Source organism: Homo sapiens, chromosome 11 (assembly GCF_000001405.40).
Source record: "Homo sapiens chromosome 11, GRCh38.p14 Primary Assembly".
Taxonomy (NCBI): Eukaryota; Metazoa; Chordata; class Mammalia; order Primates; family Hominidae; genus Homo; species Homo sapiens.
In genome coordinates, this window is record NC_000011.10 from 126,641,694 (window position 1) to 126,655,541 (window position 13,848).

Below are 13,848 nucleotides of genomic sequence, written 5' to 3' on the forward strand. Positions count from 1 at the left end.
GTCTTTCTCCTTCTCTCTTTGTACCCAGAGGCTCCAGCATATTTGCATAGCATTTATTATGCTATGTAAATACACCATTATATATGAATTTATAGCATATGTGAGAACTCAGAGTAAATCCAATTCCATCTAAAACCACGTAATACTCACTGAGGTTCCCACCACAGTCCCCTTGCTTACATGTGCACATCCTCAACTTCCACTCTTTCTCAGGTCAGGAACGTGTCAATTCTGCAACTTCAAGTGGCAGTTAGGGAAGGATCCTCTCTCCATTATATGAAAAGTAGGTGTCTAGTGGGGAGGAGCTTCCTTCTGAAATGCTCAGAAATGTACCGATGTCCTTAGATGCTGCAGATGGAGCCCAGATCCCAGTGAGCGACTGCTGGGCTGTTCACAGAGAGCCAGAGGCCCCTTTGGAAAGGGTGGATCTCCATAACCCATGGGAGGGGAGGGACCTCCAACAATCTTGTTAGTGCATCAAGTAATAGATTTTTGACAGATGCTTTCCTGCCTTCTAGTCCAAACTTCAAAATCCTTCCTGCACTGGTCTCATTGGGGTTGGTGGTTAGTTCTCACTTTCCCCATTTCTGAGACCAGCAAGAGGCTCTGTTTGCGCCAAGTCTCCCTGTAAACACTGTGGTTATGCCCACACTAGGCAATGCCTTCCTGGGAGATAACATTGCATTTATTCCAGGACTCCTACAGGGAACAGGAGGGGAAGAAAATTGCCTCTCTGTGAAAGCACATTACAATGTGGCCTAGCCCAAGCTAGACTCACTAGAAATGTTAACTCTGCCCTGCACTTTCCATTCCCCATCCCCTTTCCTCTGCCTTTTCCAAGCAAACTCTTACTCTAGGAAATACATGTTTGATTTTCTTGGGTGACCACCATCTCCAAGAGAACCTCTTAGAAGTAGGCCAAGGAGCAAAGAAGAAGTCCCATAAAGGTCAAGAGCATCTTACAGGAAAGGAAAGTGGTTACGGCAGATTGCAATTGTAGGAGGAATGACACAAAAGGGGTAGGCTAGAACCAGAGTCACATAAGAACAGCCTTCTGGAGGCAGGGGGATGGATGAAAGAATGTCTTTATGTCCCTTCAAGGGTTATGATTTTGTATGTGCAAAATTCTGAACTGTACATCCAGTTGAACAAAGTAAACATTTATCAAGCATCTCCTCTGTGTCAGGCTTGAAGTGAGAAATTCAAAGGTGAACCAAGCATGGTTCCAGAGTACAAGGATCCTACAAAGTAAAAGGGTAAAAAAAAGGTACTTTGGCCTCCCTTCTTCCCTCCCATCCATCCATCCATCCATCCATCCATCCATCTATCCATCCATCCAATGCAAGGCATATTGTAATAAAGGAGACACAACTCTAGGCAGATGTCATGAGCACTGGAATCAGATTGGAAAACTGAGTCTGCCACTTACTAATTCTGTAATATTGGGCAGAAAATGTAAACAAGCATAGCTTCAATTTTCCTATTTCTATAACAAGAATATTAATGGTATCTATTTCATAGGGTTAACATGGGAATTAAAGAAGATAATGCATATTAAAGTTCTTGGTACATAGCAGATGCTCAATAAATTAATATTTATTAAACTAATGAATTACAAATAAAGAAAATGTTAGGGAAACACAGAGGGGAGCTCATCAATAGTTGAAGAGATTGGGCTAAAATTTACAGGAAGGATGGAATTTGAGATGGTCTTGAAGAGGATTTTAACACATGCAGATGGAAGCTATTTCAGACAGAGGGAAAAAACATGAGTATTGAAGTGGAAAAGAGGAGGTCATGGTTCAGGGAAAGGTGACTAGTGGGAAATAGGACTGAAGATGTAGGCTGAGGCGATATCATGGCAAATCTTTATCTCTACACTGATGATATAGACTTGATCCTTGGGCAAAAGTGCATTAGTAGGGATTCTGGAGCAAGGCATAACTGTGGTTTAGGAAGATCAATGTGGCAACACAATGAGTAGGATTGTACTGAAGATGAATTGGAGATAGGGAGAGGAGTTTGGAGGCAGCAGTAATCTCAGTGAGATTACGTGAGGATTTTAACAAAGCTGGTGACAGTAGAAATGGAGGAAATAGAAAAGAGTTATTATGAACTGGTGACCAAAAAGATGAAGAGAATGAGGGGAGGAAGAGCAAAGCTGACCCTGAGCATTTAGGGAGAAAGAATTGAAAAGATCATGATGTCAACTCTAGCTCGAGAACACAGAGAAAAGGCAAGAGTTTTTGCAGGAAGGTAAGCTATGTGCTAGATGGAGAGTTAGGGACCTTGTAGGAAACCACGTGCAGATGCTCAGTCTAGCTGGAACTATGTGCCTACAGTCCAGGCCATCGTCCAGAACTAGATATAAGGAAGTGGCATCAGCCTCATAGGGTTAATGGCTGAAAGTGTGGGAAAGGATGTCATTGAAAAGGGGCTAAAATAACTCTTGATTTAGGGGACTAGCATGGTAGATTGAAGTAGATCCAGTGTATAGTGGGCTATGAGAACTGGGAACTGGAAAATCAAGTAGGCAGAAGGACGAAAAGCTGAGTGTTACTAATAGTAGAGGTAAAACATGAGGCTAATAGAGTTCAGGGACTGGAGCCACCAAGGGAAGTGGGAAAATAGGAAAGGATGAAAAGATTGAAGACCAAGGGAAGGCCAAAAAGTAGGTCAAGAGGGAGTGAGAAAATGAGTGAGGACAGAGAAGAACTTTGACAATTGGAGCTGAATGTTCAGTAGTTTTGAGTCGTGCATTTCAAGATGCAAATGGGGTAGATGCAGGTCACTTGGGGGAAGACTGCTGGGACCTGAGGAGGTCAGAGGCTTGGGAGGACTGAAATCACCAAGGATGAAGCTGGTGAAGACATGGGTTGGGGGTGGGGGCTGAAAGCCTGGTACTAAAATCCTAGAGGAAGATGGAGTCATGTCCAGAAAACCTGCAGATGAGGTGAGAAGAATAAAGAGATGGTACAGTGGATGGAAATATTGGGGCAAATTGCTGAAATTGAAGTGAGTCTGTGGAAAACAATATGCAGGATGAATTTATCCGTCTCCTATTAAATGCCTCAAAGAGTTAAAGTTTTTAAGTTGGAGGGTCAAAGAACATCTATGGAACAAATAATAATCTATAGATGTACAAAGCTAGCAAATATTTTAAGTGCTAAAATGTGTGGTGCTGGTCACAAATAGCTTGAGCCTGGTGCCTTTGACCAGCCCTCCTGACAAACAGCGAACGTGCCAAGTCCTACAAGGCACCGTTGCAGCCCAGGAGAGCTAAAATCTATGCCCTGGAAGAGGTGAGGACTTGGGATGAACCTTGAGGGAGGGGTTGGGGTTGAAGTGGGAGGAGCATTTCAGTCAATGGGAGAGTGGATAAATGAGCAGAGGTGAAGTGAACACAGCATATTCTGAATATATCGCAAGAGGGGTGCAGACTGGGCGTTATGAAGGAAAAAGCTGGAGGAAGATAGAGTGGGACCAGAAAGTGAAGGGATGCAGACTGACATCGTAACAATTCAAATGCTAATGAAATATTCTCAACTTGAGTTCCCTGCGGTTGTGGTCATGGGCCAATTGCAGTATTCAGTTTTTATGAAGACCTCCAGCGTCTTCATGTGTGGTCCTCAAATCCTGAATACTTCTCTCCCAGAGCATTTACCACACGGTGCTGCTGGTATGCCAGCCTTTCTCCTTCCACCGTGAGCCATTTGAGGGCAGAGACCAGACCATCTCCGCAGCCTCTCAGGCTACAGGGTACCCTGCATTATGCAGACTGAGAGCTCTAGAAATATTTGTGGCATGAATGAAAGAATTCATGAGTAATAGCCGGGCATAAATCAGAATATGCACTTGAACTGGGCTACAGTGTTCCACCAGAGGCCTTCCACATCTAAATGGAAGCATCATGGCACGAGGTGAAATTCTAGGTTTCTGAAGAAGAAAAGGTAAGAAGGACTCTCAAAGCCTTTGTTAATTAAAAACACACACAGCTCTTCAGGGAACATTTCCCTGCCTCCCATTCTCCCTCGTTGTACTGAATGGCAGATAAGGTGGTGTCTTCGCCTATGCTTTGGACCACATTTAATTAAATGCCTACATTACTGCTTCCTCACACACCTTATTTTATTTCCTTTCCTTCCTTCCATGCTAAAGAGGGCCAGGGCTAATACTAATGCATATGCTGTTAAACCTTTTTAATTAACTTCAACTTCTCCCAGAGATTTATGTTTAAACAGTAAATTTTTTGTTGATACTCAAATACATAGGCGGCACTCGGAATGATGTACGAGTACTCTTGTCCTCAAAATGATTCTTCATGAGTTACCACCAGAGACGTTTTCATGAGCCTCTTTTATTAAAATAATAATACTCAGCAAGGCAATAATGCTTTACAGCCGGCAGCTAATTAACCCACCCCACCCCCCAAACAGGTCAGCATTAGCATCTGCAGGTTCGCGATATGATCGCCCAGTGGGTCCCCCTTGTACCTTCGAGTCAGCACTGAATCGGTCTGGGTTTGTGCTCTAGCATCTGTGAATAATGATTTTCATTTAAAACACATCTTTGTTCTTAGACTGTAGCTCAATCTATTATTATTGTTATTTATTTTGTTCTTGTTAGTGCCTTCCTGCACTGGGTATCAGTATTTCTGATCTGCAGTTGACCTCTTGAAACAAAATTTAACCATGCCTTGGAAAATCCAATTGATTTAAAACTCTTGTCTAATTGCAAAATCCATTTATTTTTCTGCAACTCTAAATTTGTGCCCCAAGTATTTTTTTTTTTTTTTTTTTGAGACAGAGTCTCGTTCTGTTGCTCAGGCTGGAGTGCAGTGGCATGACCTCGGCTCACTGCAAACTTCAACTCCTGGGTTCAGGTGATTCTCCTGCTTCAGCCTCCTGAGTAGCTGGGATTACAGGCATGCACCACCACACCCAGCTAACTTTTGTATTTTTAGTAGAGACGGGGTTTCACCATGTTGGCCAGACTGGTCTCGAACTCCTGACCTTGAGTGATTCACCCGCCTTGGGCTCCCAAAGTGCTGGGATTACAGGAGTGAGCCACTGCGCCCGGCCACCCCAAGTATTTTTAATCATGATCTATGCTGTCAATTGTAATTGCAATGTAGCAATTCTTTGCCAACAAAACCAATCTACCTACCCAAGCTCCTGTTCTTTTCTTCATGTTGAGACAACGTTTTTCCCCACAAGCCAATGTGGTCATATCACATGTTGCACCACCGATGAGCCAATTATTTCAATTTTGGCATCAGATTTAAAAGAGACTTTAATGATCCTCAATGGTATAAACTGAATTTTTATTCCTACAGCAATTTAGTAATGATGATGACACTTAAGCATTTAGAAAGTATTACTCATCTTCCAACCACTGACAAACAGGAGGCTCGGCACTTTTCATTTTAGGCACTTTTCTAGGCAAGTCTGATGGGGACCTCAGCATGGACAGCATTTCACAATATTTAGGGAGCCCAGGCTCACCCCTGCTACTCTGCCAGGAGCTATAGAAAGAAAAATCTCCAAGCCCCAGTGCTTGTCTGCTGGGGTTTCTAGCTGGAAATCAGAATAAGCTCCCAAGCCTTGCATGCCCGTTTTAATTAACTTGTCTATTCACGCATCCAACAAATATTTAATGAGTTTCTGCTAGGTAAGGAAACCCAGCCCCAGGAGGGAGACTGAGATATATGAGGTATACCCCTTTCCCTCTAATCAAATTCAACCCCACCCCTCTCACCAGGGTCCAAGTTATTTGAATACTTCATTTATGCATACGTTTACTCCTTTCATTCAGCAAACGTTTATCAGGCACCTTTTAGTGTAAGGTACTCTGCTGGGAGCCCAAAAGTTTACAGCGAAGATCAAATCTGTCAGCAAATCCCTTTGGTTCTTCCTTCAAAGTAAATTTGGAATCTGGTCTTCTTGCCCCTCCAAGGCTACCCCCTGGTCCAAGTCACTTGGACCCTGTGCCTGGATGGCGGCCAGAGCCTCCTAATTGGTCTCGCAGCTTCCATCCTTGTCTTCTGCTGTCTAGTTTCAACAGGGCAGTCTGAGTAGTGCTTTTAAAAACCTAAGTCAGAGGGAGCCGTTCCTTTGTTCAGAACGGTGCAGAGCATTCCATCTCACTGAGAATGAAAGCCAACACCCTCTCCATGACTCATGGTGCTCTCCGGGGTCTGGCCTCGTTGTTACACTTTGACTTAATCTTCACTCTTCCTTTTGCTTGCTTATACAGTTTGGATTTGTGTCCCCACCCAAATGTCATGTCATATTGTAATCCCCAGTGTTGGAGGAGGGGCCTGGTAGGAGGTGATTGGATCACAGGGGTGGATTTCCCCCTTGCTGTTCTTGTGATGGTGAGTTCTCACGAGATTTGGTTGTTTGAAAGTGTGTATCACCTCCTCCTTCACTTCTTCCTCCTGCTCTGGCCATCTAATATGGGCCTACTTCCCCTTTGCCTTCCACCATGATTGTAAGTTTTCTGAGGCCTCCCCAGCTGTGCCTGCCTACAGAACCGTGAGTCAATTAAACTTCTTTCCTTTTTACCCCGTCTCACGTACTTCTTTATAGTAATGAGAGAATGGATGAGTGCACTTGTGCTGGCCTCTTTGCTGTTCCTGAAACTCACCAGGCATGCTCCTGCCTCAGGGTCTTTGCACTTATGCAGTTCCCTCTGCCTGGGATGTCCTGTCCTCGGTCCCTCCCCTGCTTCAAGACATTGCTCGGTGGCCACCTTCTTGGGGACTGACCATCTTATTTAAAATGTGCACCCCACGCCTATAGGAGTACTTTATATCCCTCTCCCTGTTTTACCTGGCTGTAGAGTGCCTATCTCCATCTGACATGATTCATCTTTATTTGTTCATTTCATGTCTCCTCCACTAGAATGTCAGCCCCATGAAGTCTTAGCTATTTGTTTTATTGACTGATGTATCAATGCCTAGTGCACAGATATTTAAAATTTGTTGAACATATATATGTATGTAATGAGTGCATGTAATAAATAGTGCTGTGATAATCTTCAAGAAGCACATGATCAAATAGGAACTATATCTAAAATAAATAATGAGCTATGTTTTAAGAAAGCTAGAAATAAATATGGTAGCCCAAAGGGTAGAAAATTCATTTTGCCTGGTTGAATGAGTGGCTAAAATCACAGTCCTACAATTTCAGGTGTGTCATGTTGGAAAATGTATTAGTCAGTTTTCACACTGCTGATAAAGACATACTCGAGAATGGGAAGAAAAACAGGTTTAATTGGACTTACAGTTCCACATGGGTGGGGAGGCCTCAGAATCATGGAGGGAGGTGAAAGGCACTTCTTAAATGGAGATGGCAAGAGAAAAATGAGGAAAATGCAAAAGTGAAAACGCCTGATATAACCATCAGATCTTGTGAGACATATTCACTACCCCTAGAACAGTAAGGGGGAAACCACCCTCATGATTAAAATTATCTCCTATTGGGTCCCTCCCACAACACGTGGGAATTATTGGAGTATAATTCAAGATGGGATTTGGGTGGGAACAGAGCCAAACCATATCATTCTGCTCCTGGCCCCTCCAAATCTAAGGTTCTCATATTTCAAAACCTATCAGGCCTTCCCCTCAGTCCCCCAAATTCTTAACTCATTTCACCATTAACCCAAAAGTCCACAGTCCAAACTCTCATCTGAGACAAGGCAAATCCCTTCTACCTATGAGCCTGTAAAATCAAAAGCAAGCTAGTTACTCCCTAGATAAAATGAGGGTACAGGTATTGGGTAAATACAGCCATTCCAAATGGGAGAAATTGACCAAAACAAAGGGGTTACAAGGCCCATGCAAGTCTGAAATCCAGTGGGGCAAATTGTAAAGCTGCAAAATGATCTCCTTTGACTCCAGGTCTCATATCCAGGTCATGCTGATGCAAGAGGTGGGTTCCCATGGTCTTGGGTAGCTCTATCCTTGTGGCTTTGCAGGGTACAGCCTCCCTCCCAGCTGCTTTCACAGGCTGACATTGAGTGTCTGCGGCTCTTCCAGGTGAACGGTGCAAGCTGTTGGTGGATCTACCATTCTGGGATCTGGAGGGCGATGGCCCTCCTCTCACAGCTCCACTAGGCAGTGCCCTAGTAGGGACTCTGTATGAGGGCTCTGACCCCACATTTCCCTTCTGCACTGCTTTAGCAGAAGTTCTCCATGAGGTTCCCACCCCTGCAGCAAACTTCTGCCTGGGCATCCAGGAGTTTCCATACATTTTCTGAAATCTAGGTGGAGGTTCCCAAACCCCAATTCTTGACTTCTGTGCACTCTCAGGCTCAACACCACATGGAAGCTGCCAAGGCTTGGGGCTTGCACCCCATGAAGCCATGGCCTGAGCTCTACATTGGCCCCTTTCAGCCATGGCTGTAGCGGCTGGGATGCAGGGCACCAAGTCCCTAGGCTGCACACAGCGTGGGGACCCTGGGCCCGTCCCATGAAACCATTTTCTCCTAGGCCTATGGGCCTGTGATAGGAAGGGCTGCCACGAAAACCTCTGACATGCCCTAGAGAATTTTCTCCATCATCGTGGGGATTAACATTCGACTCCTCATTACTTATGCAAATTTCTGCAGCCAGCTTGTATTTTTCCTCAGAAAATGGGCTTTTCTTTTCTATTACATTGTCAGGCTGCATATTTTCTGAACTTTTATGCTTGGCTTCCCTTATAAAACTGAATGCCTTTAATGGCACCCAAGTCACATCTAGAATGCTTTGCTCCTTAGAAATTTCTTCCACTAGATACCCTAGATCATCTATGTCAAGTTCAAAGTTCCACAAATCTCTAGGGCAGGGGCAAAATGCTGCCAGTCTGTTTGCTAAAACATAACAAGAATCTCCTTTGCTCCATTTCCAAACAAGTTCCTTATCTCCATCTGAGACAACCTCAGCCTGGACCTTATTGTCCATATCACTATCAGGCTTCTGGTCAAAGCCATTCAACAAGTCTCTAGGAAGTTCCAAACTTTCCCACATTTTCGTGTCTTCTTCTGGGCCCTCTAACCTCTCCCTGTTGCCAAGTTCCAAAGTCACTTCCACATCTTTGGGTATCTTTTTAGCAACTCTACTGGTACCAATTTACTGTATTAGTCTGTTTTCATGCTGCTGATAAAGACATACCCAAGACTGGGAAGAAAAAGAGGTTTAACTGGACTTACAGTTCCACATGGCTGGGAAGATCTCAGAATCATGGCAGGAAGTAAAAGGCACTTCTTACATGGCAGTGGTAAGAGAAGAATGAGGAAGATGCAAAAGTGAAAATCCCTGATAAAACCATCAGATCTCATGAGACACATTCACTTCCATGAGAACAGTATGGGGGAAACCACCCCCATGATTCAAATTATCTCCCACCGGGTCCCTCCCACAACACATAGGAATTATGGGAGTACAATTCAAGATGATATGTGGGTGGGGACACAGCAAAACCATATCAGAAAAGAACTGCAATCCACGTCTAAATGAGAAAATGGTTCCTTGCTATAGGATTTCTCAGCTAGACTAAGAAAGTCTTTTGGGAATTGGTGGGATGGTGCACAGTTTGCGTGTTTCACTGAGTCTTGATAATTATTCCAACTGGGAATCCCTCTCCATCTTCCCCAAATCTCACAAATTCCAGTGATAAACTCCACTCCATGTCTCAAACAGGGACTATTTTTGAGAACCATGCATGCTCTTTCCAGATATCAGTGGACAGCATCCAGGGGGGCAGAGTCAGTGTAATTTCTCATGGCTGATTTTGACAGGAGATGTCAGGTTAGTCTTAGTTATCCTGGAGCCTAACTGGATCTTGGGAATAAATCTCTTATTTTGGTAGCACTTTCAAATAAGTGGCAGCAGTTCATGCATAATTACTTCTGAATTATCTAGGGGATTTATCAGGTTTGATTATAGATGCATAATGAATTTACCAAATTTGTGGGTATTATGGAGATATTAATTCCATATGAAACCTCACAATTCATTCATGTGCCATTTGTTTTCATTCCTTTTTTATAATAAGCTAATTAGTTTAAATTATTTGTACTTGTACAAGGTCTTGAAACACATATTAGGAATGATTATACCAGAGAACCCAATAAATGAGAAGTTTTGGAGACAGCATTAATTGTGATGAAGGGTTCATAAAGCAGTGGATGTTCAATTTTCCCATTTGGGGTGGTAATAACAGGTCTAATCATGACACCTCCATAAAGTCATGGGAAGTCCCTAATGAAAGTTTCTGAATTCAGATATTTAAATGATGGTAGGGTAAGTCATTATGCCAATGGGAGAATGAGGCAAAAAGCGGAGTTCATCCTTGTGCTAACCAAAGAAAAGATGAAATGGTGAGGGCTCATCAATTCTGGGCCAGGAGGAAGATAGGCACTAGTAGGTCTGATCTGTCTGGAGGATTCCTTTAAAAAAACCCAAGGTTCTGGAGGTCACTGGCAGGCTGGAATTTCAGCCCCTCAGAGTGAAGGGATGGGCTTCTTTGGTTGAGTTCCGGTGTCTGTTAACCCCCCACCCCTTGTTCTTTGTGTGAAACCAGCACCCACTGGCCAAAAAGCCCGGGTTGGGGTCTCTGTGGGTTGATGGATATAAACCATCTTCTTTACTTAGGGCACAAAGAAGAACCAAGACAGGAGAGGAAGCCTGGGCCAAGCCTGCCTAGGGAGTCTATCGTGGTAGGAACAAGAGCTACCATGCCTTGAGCCCATTCTAAATGGTAGGCAAGTGCTAGATATTTGGCTCACACATTTCATCCTCATAACAGCCCTATGGTGTAGAGAATATCATTATCTCCACTTCACAGGTCAGGGGGCTGTGGACAAGAGGTCAGGCCATTTGCCAAAGTCCTCCACTCAATCTATAGGTAGCGGGGCTGGGTTCCTAAGGATGTCTGATTCTGAAGCCTGGTCCTTGATCTCTGTGCTCCATGACCTTCTGTAATCCCCACAGTCTCCCAAACATCAATGCTGTCATTACAACCCCATCACCTACCCTTACCCTTACCACACCAAAGAGTTACTCTTTTTTGAAATCTGAATCTCAGATTTTCACTTTCCAGGCAATTCACCAGGACAGAGGCCTTTCAACTTTCCTCCCTGAGATCTTCCTCCGTGAACCAACAACAAAAGGACCAGCCACCTCACTGGTCCTCTGTTGCCAGTAGAAAAAGCCCTACAAGGATTAATGCAAGAAGAAGTTCTGCTTTGGGTGAGACATCAGTTTAATTTATATTTGATTAAAAAAGTCATTCATTCATGCATTCAGCAGCCAGTATTTGTTAAATGTCTCCTACACTCTTAATTGGGTTTTGTCGGGTTGTGGGGGTGGGGGAGGGGAAAAAGAGAGCAGGTATAATAAAGCTTATGCCAGACACCTTGTTTGTAATTGTCTTGTGAGGAATATATGTACACAACTGAAAAGTTAAGTAAACAAGAGAATGATGGAATAACTAGGCAAGTGAGAGAGGCAGACAGTGCACTATCTACAGAATCCAACGGAGGAGGCGGTACTGGGGCCCGTGGTGGCAGAGGATGACGGCTTTGCAGAGGCAGAGGAACGACTGACTTGCTCAGTGAAGGATGGGCAGACTTGGGGTGGCAGAAGAGGCACCAGCTGGACCCGCCCAGGAAGCCAAGCCCCTGTGCTGCCTCAGTTTGTAAGTAGGCATTTGACCTTGTGGGGAATCACTCTCTAGCGCCTCACCGTCTTTGCTGTAAGATGGAGATAATGATACCTCATGGGGTTGTCATGAAATTCAAATCAGGAAATGGATATGAAATGGTTCTGAAAGATGTAAAGAGCAATATAAACACCAGATACGGAATGAGAAAAAAGCGGCACCGGAAGTGGCATTTTGCAAACTCCAATCCCCCAGGACCACATGTGAAGGAGCTCTTTTCAAGGTCACACGGACACTCTGACCCGACTCTCTCCTGGCAGCATTCAATGTGACACGCCAGGGCAATGAGAAACGGGAGGGGCTGCGTGAGACATGGCAAGGCTGAGGCCAAGCCCCAAAGTTCACGGACATTCCATAAAAAGTGCACGGTGGAACCTGAGAAGGTGGAGAAGGGCAGGGATGCCCCTGGCACTTTTTTTGTCTCTGGTGCTATCAAACAGAAAATGTCACCTTTGTTCCTCTATAGCCATTTTTAGTTGCACCAAAGGGGGGAGTTGAAAAATAGACCTTGTAGCTGCCTCCATGCGATTCAGGGGAAGGTGATACCACTTCTGCCTAGAGGGTGACCCCCACGCCCAGCACATATCTCACCCTCAGTCACAGCGAGGCCACAGCCCTCGATTCTAGAATCTGATGTCCTTGAATCTCCCTATCACGGGCTCCCAGTTTCAAGGGCCTCTGGACACATGAATTTCTACTTTGAGAATCAGTTTGGCTGTGTTTCGGTATCTGCATTCAGCTTCACAAGGCTGGTGAGCGAGGGCTCGTGGTTGGGACACCTGACAGGTGGCGGGGAAGACCTCCACTGGGGACACTGATTTTATTGCTAGAAGTTGCTAAAGGATGAGCAACTTAGCAGCTAGGACTTTTACCACTTCAGTGATAGAATGTAAAGTCAACCCCGAGAAGATGGATCTAGGATACCTAAACTGAAAGTTTTTTTTTTTTTTTTTTTCACAGCATATTGCAATGCAACAGTGAAAGGAATTTTAAATGGGCAGCTTCTCCTTTTCTCCTACCTCCAGGCATCTGCCTCTGAAATGTTGAAGGTGGAGGGAGATAGGATTGGCCTTTCTGGGAAGACCTCTAAGAAAGGGGTTTCCATTGAGAAGAAACTACGGGTAACAGTTAAAGAGGAAGAGCATGTGTAATGTAGGAAGCGCTTTTGCTTCAGATAGATGTCCTTCCCTCACCCCAGAGCACAGTAACCCTAATGCTATGTCCTGCATCTGTCTGGAGGGGTTGTCTAGCCTGGCCCACATCCTGAGCCCTCTCCACATGGGCAACCACACAGCCGACATCGTGAGAGGTCTGAGCCCCTCAGACTCTTGAAGGTCAATGGATATTGTGTATCTTTTTTCTACACTGCTTCAATGCTTTTCAACCATTATTTTTTTTTATTTTTTTATTTTTTTACAACCTTGAGTGTTTTAACGATTTGCTTCTTTAAAGGCTTTGCTTCCCTCTGAATATTATGACTAGCCTATTGGGTCAGAGGCCAGGAGTCTGCAGAGGACCATTCATTCACCCCAGAGGCCGCTCCTTGCTTTTATCCTGTCCTCAACATGATAGCTCAAACTGCCAGATTTTACATAGGAGGAAGGAAGACACCGAAAGATGTTCCTAGCTGGCACAGGCTGTGCTGAACACAGGTCTCACCCCACTGTGGGCAGGTGGTGGTGGAGCACATCTGTCTCTCTCCGTGTTGGTGGCTGTGATTTGGCAGCTCTGCCGAAGATTTGTGAGATGGAGAAGAAAGTGCAGGGTTGGGGTACGGGGAAAGGGGTAAGAAAGGAGATTAGTCACTTGAGTCAGGATAATTTTTCCTGATGTCAAAGCCTCACCCAGGAGAGCTCTCGCTGTTGCCTGCTTTTATCTGGAAAACAATGTGAGCAGTATCTCTCAAAATTAGGTCAGGGCTTGCAGAGGCAGGGACTTGCCAAGGTGCTAACTGCCTGAATCCTCGGTGGGTTTGCACAGCTCTCTGCTCTGACAAATGCCTCCTTTGTCTCCCTGAAAAGCCTGCCTCTTTTCTCCTTCACCCCTCCACTCCCCCCACAAACAACTGAATTTGGAAGGTTAAAAATCACTTCACTTGTCAACTCGAAAGCTCTCCCTCCCACCTCAAGTTGTTTCTCTT

The 13,848-nt window shown here is 44.6% G+C and overlaps 1 protein-coding gene and 1 long non-coding RNA gene across 18 annotated transcripts in view; one reads left to right on the top strand and one right to left on the bottom strand.

Annotated features, from left to right (window-relative positions):
- Window positions 1-13,848, bottom strand: part of KIRREL3 (kirre like nephrin family adhesion molecule 3) — a 580,037-nt gene that overhangs the window by 218,336 nt on the left and 347,853 nt on the right. The window lies entirely within an intron of this gene.
- Window positions 11,085-13,848, top strand: part of KIRREL3-AS4 (KIRREL3 antisense RNA 4) — a 29,327-nt gene continuing 26,563 nt past the window's right edge. Inside the window, exon 1 of the long non-coding RNA NR_120532.1 lies at window positions 11,085-11,236. This is a non-coding gene — a long non-coding RNA (KIRREL3 antisense RNA 4). The remainder of the gene's footprint in view (window positions 11,237-13,848) is intronic.